The 26,497-nt window shown below is 33.7% G+C and overlaps 2 annotated features.

Moving 5' to 3' along the window:
- Window positions 5,352-5,872: an enhancer, noted in NCBI's record as "OCT4-NANOG-H3K27ac hESC enhancer chr4:133416211-133416731 (GRCh37/hg19 assembly coordinates)". NCBI's record gives its function as "activates a minimal SCP1, AML or CMV promoter by ChIP-STARR-seq in primed H9 embryonic stem cells {active_cell/tissue: H9 hESC(primed)}" and the evidence as "EXISTENCE:reporter gene assay evidence [ECO:0000049][PMID:30033119]".
- Window positions 5,873-6,392: an enhancer, noted in NCBI's record as "OCT4-NANOG-H3K27ac-H3K4me1 hESC enhancer chr4:133416732-133417251 (GRCh37/hg19 assembly coordinates)". NCBI's record gives its function as "activates a minimal SCP1, AML or CMV promoter by ChIP-STARR-seq in naive and primed H9 embryonic stem cells {active_cell/tissue: H9 hESC(naive and primed)}" and the evidence as "EXISTENCE:reporter gene assay evidence [ECO:0000049][PMID:30033119]".

The raw sequence follows: 26,497 nt of genomic DNA on the forward strand, positions 1-26,497 counted from the left end.
ATTTTTAGTAGAGAGGGGGTGTCACCATGTTGGTCAGGTTGGTTTCAAACCCCTGACCTCAGGTGATCCACCCACCTCGGCCTCCCAAAGTACTGGGATTACAGGTGTGAGCTACTGTGCCCAGCTCAAATGTTTTTTTAAGGGTGCCAGGCTGATTTAATGAGATAAGAACACTCTTTTCAACAAATGGTGCAGGGAAACGAAATGTCTACAACATCCCCCCCCTCCTTAAATAAAAGTTGGATCTTCACAGTACACCTTAGAGTAAAAATAAATCAAAGACCAAATTGTAAGAGCTAAAACCATGAGACTAAGAAAAATGGAGAAGCTTCATGACATTGAGTGTAGCAGTAATTTTTTAGATATGACAGCAAAGCACAGGTAACAAAAAAATAGATAAATTTAGCTATACCAAAATTAAAAATCTTGTGTATCAAAGGACATTATGAATAAAATAAAAAGACAATCCATAGAATAAGAGAAAATATTTGCAAATTATATATCTGACAAGGAGCTAATTTCCAGATTATGTAACCAAGTCTTACAACAAAATAAGAAAAACAAATGACTTAATTTTAAAATTAGCAAATAACTTGAATATACATTTTTCCAAAAAGATACACAAATGGCCAATAAGCACATAAAAAGATGTTCAGTTTCACCAATTATTAGGGAAATTCAAATCAAAACCATGATGCGATGCCACTTCACACCTGTTAGGATGGCTGTTACTAAAAATCAAAAAAGAATATATGAGGGGTAGAGGAGAATATAGATTAACTGAAACCCTTGTGCATTGCTGGTAGAAATGTAAAATAGTATAGCTGCTGTGGAAAACAGTATGACTGTTCTATGAAGAAAATTAAAACAGAATTACCATATAATCCAACAGTTCCAATTCATGAGGTGCAATTAAAAGCATTCAAAGCAGAGAAACACATATTTGTACACCCATATGCATGTTAGCATTATTCACGATAGTCAAAATAGGGAAGCAACCTCAGTGTCTATGAACAGACGGATGGATGAACAAAACATGAAATAATCATACAATGGAATGTTATTTACCTTAAAAAGGAAGGAAGTTTTGACATGTGCTACAACATGAATGAAACTGAAGACATTATGCAAAGTCAAATAAACTAGTCACACAAGGACGAATGCTGTATAATTCCATTTATGTGAGACATCTTGGGTAGTTAAATTCATAGAGACAGAAAGTCAAATGTTGGTTGTCAGAGACAAGGGGTAGAAAGAGAAAATTTTTATTTCATGGATACAAAATTTTAATTTGGAAATATGAAAAAGTTCTACAGATGGGTAGTGCCAATGTTTTCAAGACACTGAGTACACTTAAGAACTGTACACAGAACTATACAGTTAAACAGGGTTAGTATGGTAAACGTTATGAAATGTATACTTTGCCACAGTAAAAATTAATTAATTTAGCTCTGTATATGTTCCAACAGATATATACCCCTAGTATACCACCCAATCTCTAATTAAAGCAGGTCAGGTATTATGGCATCCATTGTCCAAGTAATACCTTATTTAGTTGGATTTGTAGCAACTTTACAGAAATGAAACCTCAGTATTTTGTTCCAGACCCTAATATCCATTCCAGGTAATATTAACTTCAAGCTGGAACTTGAGTAGTTATAAGATGCATATTCAACCTTATACAAATGTTTCCTGGAAGCAAATCACCAGGACAGAAAATAAACCGTATTTATCATGAATCCTTACTTACAAATACAAAAATAATTAAAACTTAGAGGTTTTTTTAGGTCTATAAAAATTTATTTGATTCTAAGTGCAAATACATTATCTCATGCTTTGTGTTTAGGATTTGATCTAGGTGCATCTTAATAAAGCTAATAAAAAGTGGCTATTTTTTACCACTCAAATATGGAAAACTTTGTGCCAGAGAGATATCCCAAAGGAGTGATTATCATATGATAACCATATGTTCTCCTCTGTCTTACTGTTAATTAAATTAATTTATTATGTAGTCTTTCCCTAAGTAGACTTGATTTAATGTGCTGCATGTAATTAGTAGCTCAAGAAATGGAGATGAGATTATTTTACTCATGGTTACAAGAAACCATGATCCAAAGAACTTTGTAATAATTTAAGTGAAAAGATATTTTTATTCTTTTTATTTTTAAATCAAACTGATTTTTCTTGAAAACTATAGCACTGGAAGAAAATATTTGGGTCTAGATTCTACTAAACAGATATAATTCATACTTGTCTTAAAGCTGCTTGAAGCAACAGAAGCTGTTTGGGAATTTACAATGTAATTTATTATATTAATATAAATGGTGTCAGGCCTCTGAGCCCAAGCCAAGCCATCGCATCCCCTGTGACTTGCATGTATACGACCAGATGGCCTGAAGTAACTGAAGAATCACAAAAGAAGTGAAAAGGCCCTGCCCGGCCTTAACTGATGACATTCCACCATTGTGATTTGTTCCTGCCCCACCTTAACTGAGGGATTAACCCTGTGAATTTCCTTCTCCTGGCTCAGAAGCTCCCCCACTGAGCACCTTGTGACCCCCGCCCCTGCCCACCAGAGAACAACCCCCTTTGACTGTAATTTTCCATTACCTTCCCAAATCCTATAAAACGGCCCCACCCCTGTCTCCCTTCCCTTGACTCTCTTTTCGGACTCAGCCCACCTGCACCTAGGTGATTAAAAGCTTTATTGCTCACACAAAGCCTGTTTGGTGGTTTCTTCACACGGACGCGAATGAAAAATGGCATATATATTTTACTTATTGATTGACAACTTAGGGATTAACAGCACTGGTTCTAAAGCCAAATCTCCTAGATTAGAATTTTAGCTCTGCTACCTACTACCTGTATGATTTTTTAAAAATGTATATCATCTATACAAGACTAAGTTCCTGAAAATGTAGGTAATATAATGCCGATATATTAAAAGTGCTGTGAAAGATCAGATGAGTTACATATAACAGTAAGAATAGCTACCTGGCACATACTGGCACATAGTAACAATTAATGATTGTCATTATTGTATTAGTATTACTTTTTTTTTTTTTTTTTTTTTTGAGATGGAGTCTTGCTCTGTCACCCAGGCTGGAGGGCAATGGTGCAATCTTGGCTTACTGCAACCTCTGCCTCCCGGGTTCAAGCAAATCCCCTGCCTCAGCCTCCGGAGTAGCTGGGATTACAGGCGCCTACCACCATGCCCAGCTAATTTTTTTCTATTTTTAGTAGAGATGGGATTTCACCATATTAGCCAGGATGGTCTCGATCTCCTGACGTCGTGATCCACCCGCCTTAGCCTCCCAAAGTGCTGGGATTACAGGGGTGAGCCACTGCACCCAGCGAGTATTACTATTTAAACTGCTTTACTGAGTCACATACTTTTGTTATATTTTTGTATTGAATATATCCACCTACATATGCAAGAGAATAATACAAATTAAAACATTTAAACCAAATTATCTTGACGTGCCTTCAAAACGGATGTTTACATCTTAATATTAAAATGTATTTATTAAGGAATAATTACTATATTGATTTAATCTTTGATCATTTTACTTTTGATGTGTTTTTAATGTTTCAAGACCAGAATTATATCAAAAGGTAGATTAAATATGTTTTACACTCAGGCTATTGATGAAATAGTTCTTCTTTGTGGGAGGATTTTAAATAAATCTCTTTCTGATTCAAGTCCAGGACTTTTTTGTTGAATAAGCTGGACTTCTCACCCAGGTTTATTTCAGGTATTATACTATTTTATCTAAATGATCATCAATGCCTTTTGCAATTCTGATTACCCAGGGGATTACCTGTCTGACAAGCAAACCTCCTGCTAAGAAGGAAATTATGCTGCAGCTGCACCAATTGTCAAGATTTATTTTCTTAGAGCCTTACTGTGGTAAAATTTGTCTTTCATAATCTCAAACATTATATTAGTAAAATACATGTGGAAAATTGAAATATATGTTTTTGTAGTATCATAATCCCTATAGCACCTCCTTGTGTCAGCTCTATATTTAATTCTATAAAGAAGATACAATAGGGACATATAGTTCTACCAGAAGTTAAATATATGCATATCTTAACTGTTAAAACAAAAATACCATAGTTAAACTTCTAAGTAAAATATAGGATTTTCACAAAAATTTTAGCCAAAACATGATTTTAAGGACATAGTAGTTATTTTCTTCCAGCAAATTGTGAGCTCCATACTATATGTGATAATCAAGCAGACTACTTTCAGCAAAATTGTTTTTAATCACCAATTTAGAAACACCAATAAAACCTTCAAAACTACTAACATAAAAATTTATATAATTATAAGTTTTTCTAATTCTCATTGTCATGTACCAAGAATGTTTATACTAGTATTATATGTCATTGTTAAAATAAAAATGTCAAATATAAGCCAATTTTTGCTTTTACAATCAACCATTGACATGAATATTGATCTTAATGAGTATGTAGTCACCACAGTCCCTAAACAATTTATAAATCTTATAAACTCTTTAATCTATTACATAAAATGTTATAAACTTAAAATATTTTAAGCCAACTCATAAAGCAGTTTTCTGTCTTTTTTTCCCTAATGTTAACAAGCTATTTTGTTCCTTTAAAGGTATATAAATATTTTTTCTTTAAGGAATATAATGAAAATTTATGCCTAATAATATTATTTATGTATTTATTTATTATTATACATAGATTTCTATTATAATCCTCAAGGAAATATATGCATATATTATTATTACTCCTATTATATTCCTTAAAGGAAGCATAATAAAATACTAACAGTATGTTAATGTATACTTTCCAAAGAGGTGAACATGTAATGACTTACTAACAATTAAAAATGTAATAAATATATGCACCAGTAGCAATTAAAGAAAAATTTTTGGTTGGTGGAAGTGTAAATACAAATACAATTATATTTTCTACCCAATAAGAATTTTGGAACAAGTACAGAGGTTTAATGGTTTCATCAGGAAGCCAGTTACTTTTTTTCTGTCTGTTTGGCTTCATTTAGAATATGCCTACTGTTCTCACTGTCTACCGATTACAGACAAGAAAAATTAGAAGGGGCCAAAGATTTGCAAACTATACCATAGTTTTCAAAGCTTTTTTGCAGTTTATTTTTTTAATTCATCATATATCTTGGAGTTTTCTATAAGTCCTCATAGAATTGTCTCACTCTAAAATTACTGCAAATCATACTGTGATATGTGAGCATCATTTGATGTGCCATATATTGTTTGACATTTATATTGCATCAAATATTTAGCTATTATAAACAAATTAATAATTACACTTGCACTTTTGTTTTCTGCATATATGTAAGTACATCTATAGGAAAATTACCTAGAACCTATATTGCTATGTAAAACTGTGTGTATATTATACTTTGATAAACATTTAAATTACTATCCATAGTGACTTAAAGTTTATATTTTCACCAATCGTATATTAAAGTGTCAGCTTATCAGCACTACAACATTATTTTTACAACACATTTTGATTTTCACAAATCAGGGAAGTCACAAACAGTGCCTTGTGTATAGCTTTGCTATTTGCCTTAGAAGTAGGTGTCAGGCCTCTGAGCCCAAGCCAAGCCATCGCATCCCCTGTGACTTGCAGGTATATCGCCCAGATGGCCTGAAGTAACTGAAGAATCACAAAAGAAGTGAATATGCCCTGCCCCGCCTTAACTGATGACATTGTCTTGTGAAATTCCTTTTCCTGGCTCCCCCTGGCTCAAAAGCTCCCCCACTGGTTACCTTGTGACCCCGACTCCTGCCTACCAGAGAACAACCCCCCTTTTTCCTTTACCTACCCAAATCCTATAAAACGGCCCCACCCCTATCTCCCTTCGCTGACTCTCTTTTCAGACTCAGCCCACCTGCACCGAGGTAATTAAAAGCTTTATTGCTCACACAAAGCCTGTTTGGTGGTCTCTTCACACAGACGCGCATGAAAGTAGGTACCTGCCTTTTCCTAAACAAGTCCTGAGTACCTAGATCTACAGTCCATTAACATATCTCTTTAATTGTCTGTGTTTCCTCTTAATTACCTTGTTTTGTCTCAATGTCTGGGTTTTTTTTTTTTGAGGAGTTTAGCTCTTTTTGCCCAGGCTGGAGTGCAGTGGTGTGATTTCAGCTCACTGCAACCTCCACCTCCCAGGTTCAAACAATTCTATTGCCTCAGCCTCCCCAGTAGCTGAGATTACAGGCTCCTCCCACCACACCTGGGTAATTTTTTGTATTTTTAGTAGAGACGGGGTTTCACCATGTTGGCTGGGATGGTCTCAAACTCCTGACCTCAGGTGACCCACCTGCCTCAGCCTCCCAAAGTGCTGGGATTACAGGTGTGAGCCACTGCATTCAACCTCACTGTCTGCTCTGTTGCCATGTTAGCTGCGGCAGGTATCTGAGTTACCTGCCCCAAATCCACATGTATCTGCAGCAACCTTAATTCTTGCCTCCTCAGAAGAAAGAATTTGGCTGATGCGCATAAAGCAGAAAAAGAGACCAAGGCAAGTTTTAGAGCAGGAGTGACATTTTATTAAAAAGCTTTAGAGTAGGAATGAAAGGAAAGGAAAGTACACTTGGAAAAGCGCCAGGTGGACATCTTGGAGGACAAGGGCACGGTTTGACCTTTTGGGGTTTTATACATTGGTATACTTCCAGGGTCTTGTATCCCTTCTCCCCTTAGTCTTCCTTTGGGTGGGCTGTCCGCATGCACAATGGCCTCCTGGAGCTTGGGACAGGAGCATGTGCAGTGTGTTTACTTGAGTTCTACACAGGCTCACTTGAGGCGTTCTTCCCTTTACTGGTAGAATGTCCCCAGAAGGTCATATAACAATTAAACTCCACCCTTTTGCCTCTTAGTGTGCATGTATGAGCCCACTTGCCCAACTGCTGAGATCTTATCAGGAAGCTGTTGATCACCAGTTTCAGTTTTTTTCCATCTATAGGGAGACTGCCTTTCCCTGGCATTGGCTGCGGTCAATCGTTATTTTAAAGGGACAGTTAACAACTACCTGGCCATCACCTGATGGTTGTCTGACATTCCTGGTGGTGAGGGGCCCTTTCCTGCCCTGCTCATGGCTGGCTAGCTATGAACTGTAACAGACATATGTTCCACCTCTGCAACCTAGTCCTTGGGTCTGCCTTGATCACCATCTCACTACTGTATACAATTCTGTATCTTTATAGCATGTCACTGCTAATGTGGCTAAAAGCTCATGCTAGATTTAAATAAAATATCAAATCAAACACTGTTCACATAAACTTCAGCTGATAAGAGCATATATCCTCTCTTTGGTGTTCTGTTCTCTCCATACTGCTCTCTAACATTTATGTCAAGAGTGCTTTCTCCCGCTACTACTTTTTAAAAATGTTCTCATAAGCAAGAATATAACAAATTATTCCACTCTGAGACAAACATGGTGAAGGGACCTCATTTGACAATCAATAAGAAGTCGATTTAAGACAATATTTTAGCTACATTTTCAAGTTTTTGCAATTAGTGTCTCCCTTATCTGAGCCATGCCAATTGTTAAGTATCTGTTTCTTTAATATATATTATTACTGAGAATACAGTCTGTTGCAGACGTCACACCATTCTATTTAATATTAATACTGTACTAAATTATCAGTAAAAAAATGTAGTTATGTATTTTATCTATTGTTCTCAAATGTGCTTACTTAAATTTTATTTTTGCCCTTGGTCGGATAATCAACCAATAGGTCCTTCTCTGTCCTATTAGTTCCACATTTAACATACACAAACATTTTCTACAACAAACATTATCTAATATGTTTGAAGTGCTGTCATTTTAGTGATGAAAGAAAATAAGAAGAATCTGGAAGTGTTACTAAAGTGAAGAGATGTGACTGTAGCTGCTTTGACCTAAAAAGATGCATCGTCCCGAAACTACTGTTCAAGCTTCTTTCCTCACAGTACAATAAGATCACAACTCTATGGTAACAGGAAAAACGATTAATTGATTGAAAATAAGCAACACATTGCTACTTCTCTTGAAATGGAAGTCTGAATCACAAGAGAAAACCAGACCAGTGCCACCTTTCTTTGATCCAAATGATTCTGGAAGCAGATAGATATAAGCAGACACCTTTTACAGCATCATGCCAGGAAGGTTAACTACTTTTTATGCTTCAAAGTCACTCTCACTGTCTAGAGAACATCTTGCCTAAATTGGAAAGGGCACATCTTTTTGGTTTAGCTGTTGTTGTCTGATTAATAGAGGAAGTCAAGCTAGTTGTTTTTGTTGTGACTTTTAACCATTTATGGTTTATTATTTTACATTCTGTATTGTCAAATAAACAGCTATATCCATTTGGTTCATATAGAGCCTAAAAATTAAATGAAAGTTGTAATAAAATTATTATAATTTATTATGCAATATACATTCATTTGATATACAAAATATAAATAGAATTATAAAACATTTCAATGCTTCTTTATTCCCCTTTTTGGAGAACGGGGAAGGTGGGTTGCTAGTCTTTTAATTTGGATTGTTACTACCAAGGAAGAAATAAAACATTTATGGTATTTATAAATAGGGAAGAAGTGAAAGTTTTGAATGTAGTATTCTGCATTCAAACCTTTTACTTCTTTCAATCTGGCAAGTAAAATCCTTTACTTTGGGTTGAGTGAAACTGAGAGCTAGTAGGTAAAACTGTTAGTGCCATTGTGGGTGGTTCCTTTAGTGATTGCTGCTGCAGGCACTATCAGATGAGCTTAACAAGGAGATATTCTGCTTCTTTAAATACATCCTCCAAATCCTGGACATTGTAATCATTCTGTGTTCATTTTTCTAGTTGCAGTTTTAAGATGGCAGTCCAGATCCTGACCGCATTTTAACATTTATTGTATTCAAAGATCAAGGAAAAAAAAAAGATGTTTTTCATAACTACCTCACAATAGAAGTTGTTTAGTTTTCAGATGTCCAGTGATAGAGACAATAGCCTTCAGTCGGCCCAAGAGTAGTCATAAAAGTATATTAAATTTTAAGTTACAGTAAAAAAATTACCACTGACTTTGAGGTTTAAAACAATATTTATTTATTAGCTTTCAGTTCTATAGGTCAGAAGTCTGAGAGGAGTTATTGGATTCTCCCCTTAGGATCACACAAGGCCTGAATCAAAGTGTCAGTGCCTCGGGCCTTATCCAAGGAGCTGAAAAAGAATCTCTTTTCAAGTTCATTGAGGTTGTTGGTCAGATTCAATTCCTTGGGATCACTGACTGAAAAATTCATTTCTTTGTTTGTGACCAGGGCCTTCTCTCAGCTCTAAATGCTCAAACATTTCTTGACACATGGCTCCTCTGTCTTCAAAATCAACAATGGTGCATCCAGTGCTTCAACCTCATGCCTGGGATCTGACTTCCTCTTTACCTTGCTTCTTTAATACCAGAATATGTTATAGCCTTCTCAATTATTCCTTTTATGTCTAGAATAATTCTGGAAGTGGAGTTTCTTTTATATTGGATTTGAGAATAAACACACCTCAACAAATCTCCCTTTGAAAGCTTTCCATTGATACATAATAATTGTACATATTTATGGGGATCTTATGATATTTGATTACATATATACAATGTGTAATGATCAAATAATCTTTGACATCTTGGCATTGGAAACATACCAAAACTTCTCTTCTAGCTATTATGAAATATAAAACATATTGTCGTTAACTGTAGTTACTCTACTGGGCTGTTGGATACTAGAATTTATTCCTCATATTTAACTGGATATTTGTACTCAATGATCAACCTCCCTTCACCCCTGCCTCTGCTGACTCTTCCCACTGTCTGGTAACTGTTAATATCCCTCTCTTTTCTACCTCCATCATATCAATGTTGTTAACTCCCACATATAATACCTGTCTTTCTGTGCCTTGCTTATTTCAATTAACATAATGACCTTCAGTGCCATTCATGTTGCAAATGATAGGAATTTAGTGTTTTTATGGCTGGAAAGCATTATATATATATATTGTGTGTGTGTATGTGTGTGTGTGTATATATATACATATATATATATACATGTTTATTGAAGTGCTATTCATTCACAATAGCCAAAATGTGGAATTAACCTATTTCTCAATCACTAGATGTATGGATAAGAAAATGTATGTGTGTGTGTGTATATATATGTACACATATATACACATATACATACATATACACATATACACATACATATATACACATATACATACATATATACACACACATACATTTTCTTATCCATACATCTAGTGATTGAGAAATAGGTTAATTGCACATTTTGTCTGTTGTGAATGAATAGCACTTCAACAAACATGGTGGTACAGGTATTTCTTTAATATATTGATCTACTTTCCTTTGAATAAATTACCTCTAGAGGAATTGCTGAATTGTATGATAGTTTTTAGTTTTTTGAGAAACCTTCATATAGTTTTTCTTAATGGTTGTACTAAATTTATATTCCCACCAGCAGTATATAAGATTTCCTTTTTCTGTACATCCTTGCCAGCATTTGCTGTCTTTTGTCTTTTTGGTAATAACCACACTAACTGGTTAAGAGGATATTACATTGCGGTTTTGATTTTCATTTCCCTGGTGATTAGGCATGTTGAGCATTTTTTAAGATACCTGTTTGTAATTTGTATGTCTTTCTTTCTTTTTTTTTTTTGAGAAACGTCTATTCCAATTTTTTTCCCATTCTTAAACTGAATTATCTGTGATTTTTGACTTTTGGCAGTTTGACTATGATGTGCCTTGGAGAAGACATTTTGAGTTGTACTATTTTGGTGATCTTAGAGCTTCCTGTATCTGGATGTCTATATCTTTTGCAGGACTTGGACATGTTTTAGCTATTATGGTGCTAAATAGGTTTTCTATATCTATGCCAATTTCTTCTCTCTCTGGGTCACTTTATGGAGTCCCATATATCACACAGGATTTCATTCTTTTCTTTTTTTTCTGAGTTATTTCAAAAGGCCTATCAAGTTCTAAAATTAATTCTTCTGTTTGACAATTAAAACATGAGAATTGTCACTGTTCATTTGTTATATTATATGGTAAGTACTGCAGCAAAATTATTTCTAAATTCATTTCCAGAGCTGAGTGGTTTCTAGAAAATTCTAAGATATCCTTGAGGTTCTAAAGCTCGTGCTTTAGAGCTGGTGAATCTCATCTCTGACTTTTGCAGATGAGATATCCTGAGGCTACTATACTTTTGCAGTAATATAAAAGGTTATTAATATTATTATTATTTCTTTTAGAGTTGAGGTCTCTCTCATAAGAGTAACTATATATTATATCCCGCCCCTGACTGGACTTCAGGAATTTGGTCACGGATGTGGTGGACAATCTAATGCCTAAGTGTCTCATCCCGACCCCTAACCAGGTGTGCCTCTCACAGAAAAGTTGTTTATAATGGCAGGCCCTGTGTGAACTGTGTAGTTTATTCTTACCAAGACAGTTATTCTCTAGAGGTTCCTTGACCAGAAAATATCTTAGGCGTGTTATTCAGGTGATACAAAGAGAGGAGGCAAGCCTTGCTTCTGCCATGAGAAAGTCTAACTTACATTCAAGGCAGATGCTGAGTAAACATAAAATTATAGAAATTCACTATGAAATCTAGAAATAAAAAAGGTAAATGGATTTTACATGAACCCTCTAGGAAAAAATACACTGACCTCTGGAATAGGAGTGCAGATATTTGCATTTATACCAAGTATTCGTCTTACTAACATTTTCAGAAATTAAATTTTGAGGATAATTATCTTAAAAACTGTGGAAACTTGATAGTTATTAAAAGGAATAAAGGATCATGTTTCTGTGATTCTAATTTACAGATTATTATCACAGTCATTTTGTTCTCAATCATGAGTTTGGGGTAAATATATATTTATCTTTGTACTGAAAAATCCATGTTTTAAAATGTTGATGTTTTTGAAAAAAAACTACAGAAAAAATAAAATATATACTTTTCAAATTTTACATCATGGCAAGTCATCTTAATATCTTACCATTTATTTTTAAGGTCTATACATATTTTCTTTAAAATTCTAGTTTACATTTAGCTGTTTACTTTTTTCAATAATGAAATATTGAAAATCATACATCTTTCTCTTTTGGATACTAAAATACAAAACTGCACCACACAAAGGTGATTATTTTCATTCTTTCACAAAATTACTTGAAGCCAAAATTTGTTATTTTCACTTTGGTTTCTCAGTTAGTTTTAGTTAATACAAAACTGTTAATTTAACATTGTGCCGTTTGACATTTCCCTGAGTACTATTTGAGAAGTGGATGTCTGACTCAACACTTCCTAACAGGAAGATAGACAACTTCATTTCAGGAGCTTCATGCATATCATAATTTCTTCTGCTGAGCTATCTATTACCCTGTAGGATCATAAGTTATTTCTACATTATGTAAAATGCAGCATGCATCAAAGGTGACATATGCCATTTTGGGGCTTTATTATAGTTCATCTAACAAATTGTAAGGACAGTCAAGTCAAAATGAGATTTCAGAATGCAAAATAGCATTCAAGCTAGTGACTCACCTGATGTGCTATTCTATTATATGCTTGTCCTGTTCCATTGTGGGGATGCCTCCTTAGAGAGAAATATGAAAAGTATGAGTCAGTTTTTCTCTCACTAAGTGCTACCTGCACATTTGTGATTCTGTAATCTCAATTTAAGTGTCTTTTGCAAAAGGAGTCATGTCCTAGGAGGATGCATACTATCATCAGCAAGAAAAATACATAGTTAACCACAAACTGTGCTCTTCACATATGGCTTAACATATTTTTAATACCTTTGGGTGAAAATAGGTGTTTCGTTTCTATGAGGCTGCATCTTTTGATGTGTTTCAGGCATATGGTTAAGAGTAAAAATACTCCCTTCTTAGCACGGTAACAGATTAAATTTAAAATAGTGCTTTCAAACAAATCCTTAGATATGGCAACATATTTGCAAGCAGCAGCCCTAAAGGAAAGCTTTTTCATTTCCTCTTTAAAACACTCATGTTTGGCCAATCCTTTATTATACGTGTGTATGTGTGCACGTGTGTGCATGCACATGTGTGTAAAGAATGCTATTCTATAGTGATATAATTAAAAAGTAAATAGTAAATGAGATAATCTTGTTCTTGTGAAACTCACATTTACAGGGAAAAAAGTGAACACATTTCATTTAAAGCAACACCACTGAAACAACTGTGCAAAGAAAATAAAAATAATAATAATTATCTTTTTAAGTGGTAAAGAATGTAAACAGAAAATACAAGATGAAGTGCTAGTAAGTATAGCCATGACAAGGTTTACTGAGTGAATTTTGAACTGCTTGAAATAGAAATGTGCTAAAATTTCTCATATAAAAAGATAAGGAATTAGATTTCAGAAAAACTAGAATATGTTCATATAATCAGTTTCCATCTCCATTTTTCTTATGATTCATGTGATTAATCTTTCAATATTTCTTTTCTATCTCTTGAAGTCTGTCATTTTGGATTGCATATGAACTAATACAAGCCAACACAGCCTCGCTAATATTAAAGCTCAAATCCCCAGTGTAATTGAATGGACTTAGTTTCCACATTCACACCAAATTTACAGAAGAAATAATGTGTTTCATATTTGGTCCTTCCTTGGTGGTATATCTTAGCAATGGAACAATCATTTGTGGTTAGGGTAATAAGATAATCTACAAAAATCCAGTACTACTTGGTCAACTCCTTCGTCAGGGAATATGGGTAATTGGCCTCTAAAGAGGGTTTGGGTAAGAAACCAATGTCTGGATTTGATAGTACAAATAGCAACATGGAAGAAATATAAAATGGACTTATTCAACTGAGTCCAGTTGAGCCAGATGGAAGAGACAATTTGCTTCTCTCTTCTAGGGAAAGTGTTCATTGTTCAGTGTTTTATAAGTGGATGCATTTTAGCTTTCCTATATCTAACTCTACATCTAACTTGTATTAGATTAAATTAAACACCTGAAACATACTAGGTATTTCATAAATGTTTCTTAGAATAAATAATGAATAAAGTTCTACTCTTTCATCAAAAAATACATATATGTGGTAGTGAGTATGCCAAATGAATTGAGGTAATAAGAATAAAATATGGTGCCATGAGAAAAGAAAGGGAAAGTGGTTTGGAGTAAAGTTCCTGTATCTCGTGGATTTGAGTTGCATGGGGCCTACGGAAGCTAATGATAAAAACAATAACAACTACACCCATAAAACCAGTATATAGATAATGCATTGCTGGACGGTGAGTTTTGACTTTTTTGTTTAGTTTTGATTGTTTATAGTGGTTTAAGATAAAGACAAAGGAGAAGGAAGAAAAAATAGAAGATAATTTCCAATAAGAAATTTTGGGCAAGGTAAATATATCTTATAACATTTTCCCATCTATAGGATAATTTCATATTTGAGTACAAGGATCATCTAATTATGTTAGAAGATTCCAAGTATACAGATAGCAATAGCTCCAATAACGATACTTTAATTTATTATGATGCTTAAGTAATTTCGATTATTATTCTTTCCATGATCTCAGTTAAAGTAGTTTTGACCATATATATATCACCTTTGAAATAAACATGACTAGACTACTCCAAGCATCATCTTTATAACACAATAGTTACTTCTAAGAGGCCACAGAATAACTATACTCATCTGTCAATAACCTTCTGCCCTCATCTATCAGTTTATTTATGCAATAGACATTTGCTACAACCCGAAGTATTTTACATTTACAAAAGGCAAGCAGAGCAGAATCTCAACGAACCTCATGTCAATCTGTTGTAACCACCAGAATGGACACTTGACAATTACATGTTTGTTCAAATGCACTCTTACCCTGTGCCTTTGCTAATATCTTGCAGATCAAATGGGACTCTGATTCATCAGAGGTCTGTGACTAATGCACCTTCTGTGGAAGGGCAACAGAACATTCAAACTTGCTTTAATACAACACTTATTCAGATAAGTGTCTTCTGAGTTTATTCTCATCCCTCATCCTTGGAAATATCTAAATGACAAAGTGTGCTTATTTTGATGATATTTAAAAAAATACTCCCCAAGCTTCAAATATTAGAATACAATAAATGTTTTGAAACTTAGGGCAGAAAAAAATTGAAAGAGAAAAGCTAGGGAACTAAGCAAGACAGTGTAAGATTAAAGAAAAGAAAACTGGAAAGATTTCTAAGTTCTTTCCTGGGCTCTTTTGTAATAATTTCTATTGTAAAACATATCATATTCAATGGAGAAACAAACAGAAGAGTGATAACTTTGCCAACTACTGAAATATATAATTGCAACCTCTAATATAACTTAGCAATGGGTATATGATTTAGTCTTTAACACTTTTCCACTGAAGTTCCAATGAAGAAAACAAAAACAGGAAAACTCATTGTAAAACACAAAAATTATTTATAATATAAACCTATTTGTAATAATAAATATAGAGCCAACTTTAAAACAAACAACAACAGCAACATATTTGGCTATCTAAAATGAAACAAATCCTGAACTAATTGTTCAACATGGTATTCGTTTTTATGTAGGCTCCCATTGACTACCTCTCCTCCCAGAGAGAAAAGAAGCCAGATTGTACAAATATCTAATTGCTACATAGATGGATTTATTCATAATAAAAACCCATCAAACTCTTAAAATTCCTGTATATTCTATTTCCATTGTAAAATAAAGGTATCAATGCATATAGGATGAACGTGTTTTATCTTACATTAAGTAGTAAACAAACAAGTGGAAAAATAAATTCCTAAACCCAATAAACTACAGCTAAATGCTTACTAGATTTTGAGAGTGTAAGTATTATCCAAAATTAAGAATAGCCATACACTTTGTCCATTTGCAAGCACTGTTTCTATATAGAAGTCTAAGACATATCAAAAAATAAATAAAATGAAAATCTATATGCAGTCCAGCAAAAAATATTACTTATTAAAATTACTAATTACCAGATTCACAAAATCACTTAAAGGGATGCTGGGATTCCCATATCTAGCATCATTGTTGACTGATTTACATTTTTTCATTGAGGAAAAAATAAGCTAAAAATTGGAAATAAGTAATAAAATTACTTAAGTTAATCATTCACATAGGAATATAGAATCCCAGAGCCCAAATCAAGTGAAAGTAGGAATTCTTTTAAGTAAGCAAGTACCCTAAACATCTTTACACTTAAGGCAACCAGGAAAAACTGGTTAACTTGAACCATTTTTTAGATGACTAGATAGGTGTAGACATGGGAGTTAAAGTTTAAGGTTCTTCTCCAATGATGAGAAATCCAGTTAAACACTTATTCCATTAAGCTGACTTTAAATGAGAACACCCTCAGGGAAAAGGTGAACAGCAAAATATAATCCTATTGCACAGAAGTGGTCAGCAAGAAAATTTATCTGTCTTTAATTTGTGGCTAATGTAAACACACACATATACACATACACATGCGCACACACACATACCTTGAATATTCAAAAGCACAGTTTAAGCATCATGTAAAATTAAATAGAATATTCACATGACCAGTGTGGTTTAAAGCGTGGCATTAAACTGTAGTAGTCTGATATAAATAATTCCTCCAGTGATTTGAAAAAGCAAATGCAAATCCTCTCTGAGGAGCATAGCTTCTATTTAGGCCTTAAATAATTACTATAGAAAAATATCATGAGCATTGGCTCAGATTAAATGATTATAAAGATTTATAATCTTTTATATGATTTCAGAACAATAAATGATTATAGAGATTCTCCAGAAGAAAGCGGATATCAGAATCAGATCAGCATTGAATTCAGACATTAGATATAACAGTAACGGAATATAAACTATTTACTACATATACTATGTACTATGAAGTGAAAGGTTCTGGAAGACATGAGCAAGAAACAAAAATTATACAAGCAACAAACATTTGGAAACAAATATAACAGTTAGAAATGATCTACGTAATTATGCAATCAGAGAAAACTAGTTGGCTATTTACATAGAATCTTGCATATGTAAGCAATTTTAAATAAGGACTAAAAATATCCTACAAATAAAACATTCAATATCAAAATGATATACATTTTATTTTAAAAATTAATTTTTGTTTTAATTTTATAAAAATTGAACTGGTAAAAAAAAAAACATTGAACTGGTAAAATGATTCTAAATTTATCCTGATAATAACCTGGAAAATCCTAAGAACTTTTTGAAAAATAATTATAATGAAGAATGATCTCTATGAAAAATTATAGTGTGTTTAAGTATATAATAATTCAAAGACTTTTATTAAAATAGCACACTTAATAAGAAGCCTAGATAAATACACATCTTGCATATATGAGTACATATACATTTATACATACAAATATACATGTGTTATACAACATTGATCTAAAATATTAGTGATAGAGTCATATATTATATTGTATATATATCATATAACATACTATATTTTAAAAACATACAGCAAAGACCAAGAAAAACTATAAAATAAAAATAAATAAGTAGGTAAATAAATGAATAAATAAATTCATGCTCTGAGCAAAACAAAAAAGAAAACATTCAGAGTTATAATTACTTGGAAGTAGAAAAAGGAGTACCAAATTTCAATGAAGAATATTCTACTTCATTCCCCTACCCTAAAACTTCTCAAGCAGGGAATGCATTTTGTAAAACAAAATAAAAACAAACAAAAAATATTATGCATGAAGGAGAAAAAGGGAATTAGCTGAAATCCTAAAATTAATTGAAGACCACAGCTAGCAACACTCATGCAAAATGCAAACCTACTGAGAAGGTATACTGGTACATCAGCGAATGAACTACAAGGAAAACAGTTAACAATGGAACCGGACACAAGGTGGTAGCTTTGGAAAGGTAATGCTTCCAGTGGAAGAGAAGATTAAGGGGAAAGAAAAAGCAAACATTGGAAACTGTATGATGAAAACAAAAGAGGCAGAGGGGAGATTTTAAATCCTTTATGACAAAATATATCAAAGAATTGACGCCTTTCCCCAAAAAGATATTCAGTAAATGAATCATACTTTCTTCACTGAAAAAGAGAGTATTTTTGAATTTGAAATCTTGTATTTAACATCCAATCACCAGCCATGTTCTCAGAAATGTAGTTGGCGTAAGTACAAAATGATTATAAAAAGAAGAGTGAAAATGATAACCACCTAGTACAGCTGATAAAACTTCCTTGAATCCTTACCTACCCTGAGAAAAAAATGCTAACGGAAAAGTAAGTTGTAATAACTCTTCAAACTTAAATTACCTGTAACAAGTATTTGAGATTTAAAAAAAAAAACTCAAAAAGTCTAAATTAAATATTTAAAACGTAAAACCAGAATGGACAAAAATGGATAAATAAAATTAGAGAAAAAATTAGAAATTAAAAAAATAAATGAAAAAGAAGGAAAAAGAAACAAAAGGAAATATTAACAAAACTAATAACAGTCATAAAGACTAAAGGAAAATCTGCTAGAGGAATAATAGATGTTATTAAAAATATAATGAGAGAAATGGAAGGAAATGAGGAAAACAACCAAGATATAATGAGAATATAATACAGCAATAAAAAGAGTTAGAGAGTAATTGATTGAAATGAAAGACAAAGTTATTTACATATCATTGCACTTTCTGAAGCATAAAATAAAACCATAGCACTTTCTGAACATACGATAATATTTGAATCTACCTATATGTATTCCTACAGATTCAAATGTATACATATTTGTTCAAAAGGGAACTAGTAAAAATTGACTTACAATGATCAACCCCATGATATATTCTAAGAAAACAATTAATTATTAAGAAGGAATAAATACACAGTGCCTCCAGGAAGAAAGATTAAATGATTTACACATGTATTAGAATTAGGTTGGCATCAGGATTCTCAAAAACAACACATAAAGAAAATAAAACAGAGCTACAGCAAGAACTTTTTTTTTTTTTTTTTTTGAGATGAATCTCACTCTGTCACCTAGGCTAGGGTGCAATGGTGCAATCTTGGCTCACTGCAACCTCTGCCTCCCAGGTTCAAGTGATTTTCCTGCATCAGCCTCCCGGGTAGCTGGGACTACAGGTGCACGCCACCACGCTCGACTAATTTTTGTATTTTTAGTAGAGACAGGGTTTCACCATATTGGCCAGGCTGGTCTTGAACTCCTGACCTTGTGATCCACCTGCCTTGGCCTCCCAAAGTGCTGGGATTAAAAGTCATGAGCCACTGCGCCTGGCTGGCAAGAACATTTTAACCTAGGTATTATAGCCAGTAAAACTGTTCTTCCTTCATTGAGACTATAGATATGGTTTTAAATACCAAGAGTTTAGGATATTTTACATCTATGAACCATTCATTAATATCTACTATGAGAAGAACCTCCTTCAAACAAGTGGATAACTAGGGAAACTACAACAGAATGACTAATAAAACTAAATAAAATCCACAAGTGACAGGGGAACTAAAATGGACTACAAAATAAAACAAATGAATTACAATATTTCAATGTAAAAACATAACCACACTGAAGAGGAACAGAAAGAACTGTATCAGTTAACTCATGAACACAGTTTTTGGAAGCTATGGATCAAGGATAGAGAATAAATAATCTTTACACAAATATTGAGCCATAGTTAGAAGTCTTCTTTTTTGCCAAGGCATAGATCGACAATTCTGAACTAATTTTTGTGCATTTTAGACCTTAGCACATTAATAAATATGTTGTGGATGATAGATGTAAAGTTTCCACTGTCAGAAAATGGATTACAAATGTGAAAGTCATCCAGATAACATGGTAAAATGGAGCCTGGAAAGGCTATAAAGAGAGTGCTCTAATATATGATTTGCCTGGTAACAAAAACTATCAAAATAATTTTTTTTTTTTCAAATCACAGCTTACTACATGAGTCACACAAGGACAGCTAGTAGCAGCAGGACAGCCAGCTACTTATACAAGAACACTTGCCTGACATATTGTCTTTCAAACCCAGTCCAAAACTGCAAGGGCCTAATCCTAATTCCAAGATTACAAATTCTACCTAGAACAAGTTCTACCTACTGACAGGCACCAATCAGAGCTCGTCCAATCTTGTAAGATGCAGCCAGTGCCAATAAACTTTTTTGGCAACTTTCTTTCAAATCCACTCTTCTTTCCCTAGTAAAACCTAACTTTTTCTTTTATTCTCCAGACACATTGGAGGCCACTTGCTCTGTATGTATATCCCAAATAACAATCCTATTTCTTGTATATTATTCCCAAAGAAAACATTTTTACTTAGAGATTCATATTCATTTTTTATGCTGACAAAAATATGGAAGGAGAAAAAAGAAACTGTCGTATTTAAATGGAATTTAAAAACTCTGCTTGAATTCACCTTATGATTTTAAGATATGGAGAGATAAACACATATATAATATGCATTTGTGTATATAAATATGTGTATATCTGTACACATGCAGAAGGATATGTGTATACACATCTATATACATGCACATATACAAATATATACATCAACTCCCTGGCTTGTTCACTGGAAAGTTCCTAAAGGGAATGGCACCCAAACAGGAAGGAGCACAGATGGGACCCAAATAAAGCTCTCACTTTTCTGGCAGAAACCTGAAAATAAGGAAGTACTCAAGCAATGAATGAAAAATGTCAGTAGAGCAAAAAGGCCAGCTTGAAGGAGATCTACCATCGAAATCTGAAACAATGTGAGCAACAAAATAAATAACAACATTAAAAGACAAAGCATCTCTTTAGAAAGAATCCAAAAGCCTGCATTGTTATAAATAAATAATTAAATAAATAGAAAAGAAGGACAAATTTACATTAGAATTTCACCAAATACATTTAAAAGAAGTTATTAAATTAGGAACCATCATTTTGCAACTATCAAACTTATGGATGGATGCTACACTGGTACGTAAATACTTGAAGAATCATAAGAACTATTTCTCCAGAAGATATTGGATGATAAATGAAAGATACTGGATGACAAAAGAAAAAATATGATTAGGAAAAATGGCTGATCCTACCTTAACAAAATGAATAAATTTAGTGGGATAATTTAGCTAGATAACAATTTTATAATCATAAAAATAGAAACGATAAATGGATGCTAAAATGTTGGGGTAAAAAAGTTAAGGAGTAATAGGATATGGAGATAATCTCAAAGTATACTCCTGTAAGAAACTTTTTAAATACATAGGGAAATGTGGTAGCTTTACAATGGAGAAATCTTGTAGATTCCACATTAATAAGGTGATCAAAGTTCATATCATTAATAAAAAAACAAATTAATCTCATGTGACCACCTGAGTATACATTTAAAAGAGCGAAATATCACTTCTGTGTTATTCCTACCAAATGTGCATATCCCAAATCTAACCTTATGAAATGATCAAAGAAGCACAACATAACTGGCCTGTACTCTTCACCCATTAAATACCAGATAGCATTCTTAAAACTGCAGGTTTAGTAATGGAGAAAGAAAAGCAAAAGGAAATTTGAAATCTAGCAAATGTATTACTTTCATAAAGTTTTGTTCTGGTTATAGATAGTAAAATTAATAAATCAACGTGAGCATAGCAGGTAACCGTGAAAAAGTTGCTTTGATATGACATGACTGGGTAGGGGTTATAATTTATGATTGGATAATCAAGAAAGTTTTCCCTGAGGAGGTGGAAGCTGACACTTTACAATTAGAAAAACAGGTGGGAATATCTGGATGATAAGCATTTAGACTGAGGTAGCACCAGGTGCATTGACTTGAAAGAAGGAACAAACAGTTTGGCATCCGGGCAACAAAAAACATCTATAGATAGCTAGTTGGAACTACAATAAGCAAAAAGAAAAAGAAATAAGTTGGAGAGGGAAAGAGAGGGGCTCTCAAATAATATTGTACACACCAGATTAAGAAAATTGGATTTGAACCCTAGGTATTCATTTAGAATATGAAGCTAGTAGTGCCCTAATAGGATTAAAAGATTACTGTGTCTTCTGAAGAAAAAACAGAAACCGGAGCAGGGGAGTAAGGGAGTGGGAGTGAGGTGTCAGGTGTCGCTGTGGGGGTTGAAACAAACAAACCAGGCTAGGTGGCTCAAGCCTGTAATCCCAGCACTTTGGGAGTCCAAGGTGGGCAGATCACAAGGCCAGGAGTTTGAGACTAGTCTGACCAACATGGTGAAACCCCCGTCTCTACTAAAAATACAAAACTTAGCTGGGCGGGCTGATGCGTGCTTGTAATCCCAGCTACTCAGGAGGCTGAGGCAGGAGAATCGCTTGAACCCAGGAGACGGAGGTTGCAGTGAGCTGAGATCACGCTGCTGCACTCCAGCCTGGGTGACAGAGCAAGACTCCGTCTCAAAAAAAAAAAAAAAAAAAAGAAACCAGAAAGCACAGCTAGCTGTTAGTTTATGGCAATGGTGCAGGCTCAAGTGAGTCAGGTGAGGTGCATCGCAATAGAGATGGAGACAAGTGTGGAGATTTCAGAAAGATTTTAGGGGTTAAGAGGCAATTTCAAAGACATTTTTTCATTTAAAACTTGTACAAGTACATTTAAAAGATCTTCAAACATTGTTGTAATACTTAAGGATAGAATAACTGTTATTGTTAGAAGTATTCAGAGAATGCATATGTTTCATAATGTCTTTCGATTATTAATAATTTTATCACTCACATGTTGTACTGCCAAATTTAGTGATTCTAAGTTGTCGTCAATAAGCAGGTGATAAAACAAAAAACAACAGGAGAACCACAGCAATACTCCCTTATGTAAATCTGTCAAAGCAACCTTTGGCTCTAAGCCCAATGTGAAATCACTATAGTAAATATCAACTACTGAAAAAGTAGGAACTTGGCTGCCAAACTCCAGACCCCATTATAAATGAAATTGTGAACCCAAGAAGAAGGTATGTTTGGCTTGCACATGTGTTTGTTTATTGTAATGTGAGTCATAAAACATTTGTGCTTATGTTTTAAACTTTCGCTCTAAGATAGATGCTAAGTCATCTATCTCAGAGTCAAAGTTTGAGAGTGATAGGTATCTTGACTTAGTTGTTTTTGAATCATTCTAGGTTTTTGTTCATTTAAATGATACATTATTTTCAACATAGCTATTATGATATTGTATGGGGATTGATAGAAGTTGAGACTGTCACTGAATCTATTATAATAGTTCAGTCTTTGAAGTATCAGAATGTTTTCTTCATAAATTTACCTCTCCTCTAAGTGTTCTGCATACTATGTACTGCTAGATTAAGTGAATAATTTCACTCATGTACACATGTACATAACGAAGATATTCATCAGCATCAAATGGAATAGGATAATGTAGAGAAAGGAATTTACAAAACAACTTGCTGATAATACCATTTCCTTTTGTTCTTTTCATATAGTATAGGTAGCATTATCTTTTACACTTTGAACCTTGGCTAGTTTAAGAGTCTTTGATGAGTTGCTAGGAATGAAAAAGTTGACATTATGGAAATGGTGTCAGGAAGGAAAGAAGAAAGGAAAGAAAGGAAGCAGGATGATAGAGAGGAGGTTAAAAGGGGTAGAAAGAGCAAGAGAAAGTTTTCTTCTGAACATCAGATTCAAGTAATCAGTAAGCTGTATAAATTATTTGGAAACTCACTACTTTTTTTCTCACCTGCATACCTATTACTTAATTTCAACTCACTATCTAGGAAAGACCTCCTGGTATTTTCTATCTTCTCTGCAAATCAGCCAGAGATTCTCAGCTGAAATCTTTAAATACCCTGTCTACTTACCTAGGTTAAATCCAACGTCTTTACATGGCCCTAAAATTTCCACAAAACCTGGCTCTAAATGCCTTTCCTACCTCATCTTCTGTAGCCTCAATATGTTTTACTGCTGACAGCACTAAACTCCTTGTAATTCTCAACCACATCAAGCTAGCTCACAGCCTTGGAATTTGGTCTCTTTTTCACCTGAACGACTAGCTGCCAGATACATGCTTGCCTTACTCCCTCACTCCTTTCAAATTTCTACTTAGGTATCTTAAGAAAAACCATCTGTGATTACCCAGAATACCAGCATACCAGCACAATCACCTCCACACCATTGTGCTGTAAACACTTATCTTTCTTCATTTTTCAGATGTTTATCACTGACATAATTTATATAATTTCTACATACCCTATATAATTTATATACTAGCTGATTGTAAAGCTCCATGAAAGCAGGAGCTCTATTTTATCCATGCCTTTGTCCTAGTAATTTCAAGTACTTGGCTAATAGTCATCTCTCTCTCTTTCTCTCTCTCTCTCGCTCTCTTTCATCTCTTTTATGAATTCCAGTGGGTAACTTCTAAAAGAAGCAGCTAATTGGTTAAATTTTTTAAAAAGATATATTCTACAAAGAGAAGCAACTGACCTAGTAAGGAACTGACTCATATTAATGATAAAAATTAGTATGTGTGTATATATATATACACATGTACATACACACACAGACATGCATACATAAATATTGTTTCTGTAGTATAAAAAGCAGTACCAGTTTCCATGGCTAACTGTATTATATTTCCTATTATCGACTTCTTGCAAGTTGCCCACTTTACCAATTGTCACATACCTTCTTAAAAAGAACTGCTATGGCCGAGTCTGGTGACTCACTCCTGTAATCCCAGCACTTTGGGAGGCAAAGGTGGGAGAATTGCTTTAACCCAAGAAATTGAGACCAGCCTGGGAAACATGGTGAGATCCCAACTCTACAAAAAATTTTAAAATTTAGCCAGGTGCAGTGGTGCACACCTGTGGTCCCAGCTGCTTGGGAAGCTGAGGTGGGAGGATCACTTAAGTCCAGGAATTTGAGGCTACACTGAGCTATGATCACATCCTGCACTCCAGTCTGGGCGATGGGTGACCTATGGAGACACTTTCTCAAAAAAAACCAAACCAAAACAAACAAAAAACAGCAACAAACATAAAAACTGCCGATACTTGAGAAGTCTGTAATACAATTTCACTGCTTGCAGGCAAAGCCTATTAAGATTTTTCTAATATTTTTAAAGCAAAGCAATATACCATCCATTCTTTTAAGAATTCCAGATAAAATATATTTTATCTATATGTACTGTAACAACCAATAAGTTGCTAATTAGAAAACTTTAGAATAAGTTTATGTCTTAATTAATTTATCTTCTTATACTAATTTTTAAAGAGCTTAATCATCTGTTGTGACTTAGCACAAGATAATACACAATATACAACCCAATGGGCTATATCACATATGACATTTCTCAAGAACTGAGGCAACAAATAAAACTTTAATTTTAATTTTAAAAGCCACCTCTCTCTTTTTACTAATTAGGATAAACACTTTAAACGGATTTTTTTAGGGTATTTTACTTGCCTAAGTTGTTTTCAACTTCATATACATTTTTTAAGCATGAGCTTACTTGATATGAATCAGAAACAAGTATTCATTGATAAGTATAAAATAATAAACTAGTTTTAAATTGGCAAAACAACGTGACTATTGGTCATCAAAAATTAGATATGTTTATAGTGAAGTTGTCATATACTAGATTGACTAGATAAATACATTAAGCAGAAAAACTTATTCTGGAAATATACATATCTATATTATATATATCTATACATACACATGTAAACATCACCTTTGAAAATAAATAATGATTTTATTGGATGTTACCTAGCAAGTCAATTCCACATATAGAACAACTGTATATAATTTTTATTAGATAATGGTAAGGTATGCACTATTAACTAATTAATGTACATATTTGATGGCTGTTCTTTAGAATGTATCACATTTTTAGGTTTGCTTTAAGACAAAATGATGGTGCAATTGTATAAGAGGCTGATTAACCATGTAAACTTTTAAATAATAGATAGGATTTCTTTTTTTTTCTTTTTTCTTTTCTTTTCTTTTATTTATTTATTTTTTGAGACAGGGTCTCACTTTGTCACCCTGGTTGGAGTGCAGTGGTGTGATCTCAGCAAACTGAAGTCTGGACCTCCTAGGCTTGAGCAAAATTCCAGCCTCCGCCCCTCAAGTAGCTTAGACTACAGGAGCATGCCAGCACGCTCAGCTAATCTTTTGTATTTTCATAGAGACGGGTTTCACCATGTTGCCCAGGCTGGTCTCGAACTCCTAAGCTCAAGAAATCCACCTCCTTGGCCTCCCAAAGTTCTGGGGTTACATGTGGGAGCAACTGCATATGACCAGGATTTCTTAAAATCAATTTTTCACAGTGTCAAATGATATTGATCTAGATAGATTAAGGTGAAACACCAAACAAATATGTAGTGACAAAATCAGTTAATATAAACAATCCAGAAATTTTCCTCCTCATCCATTCTTCCAAACTTCTCCTTATTACTGAGTAAAATTAATTCCCTATATTAACCAATTATTTTCTTTGCTTAATTTGCATTTTCTCACCTGGCCAT

Source organism: Homo sapiens, chromosome 4 (genome assembly GCF_000001405.40).
Source record: "Homo sapiens chromosome 4, GRCh38.p14 Primary Assembly".
Taxonomy (NCBI): domain Eukaryota; kingdom Metazoa; phylum Chordata; class Mammalia; order Primates; family Hominidae; genus Homo; species Homo sapiens.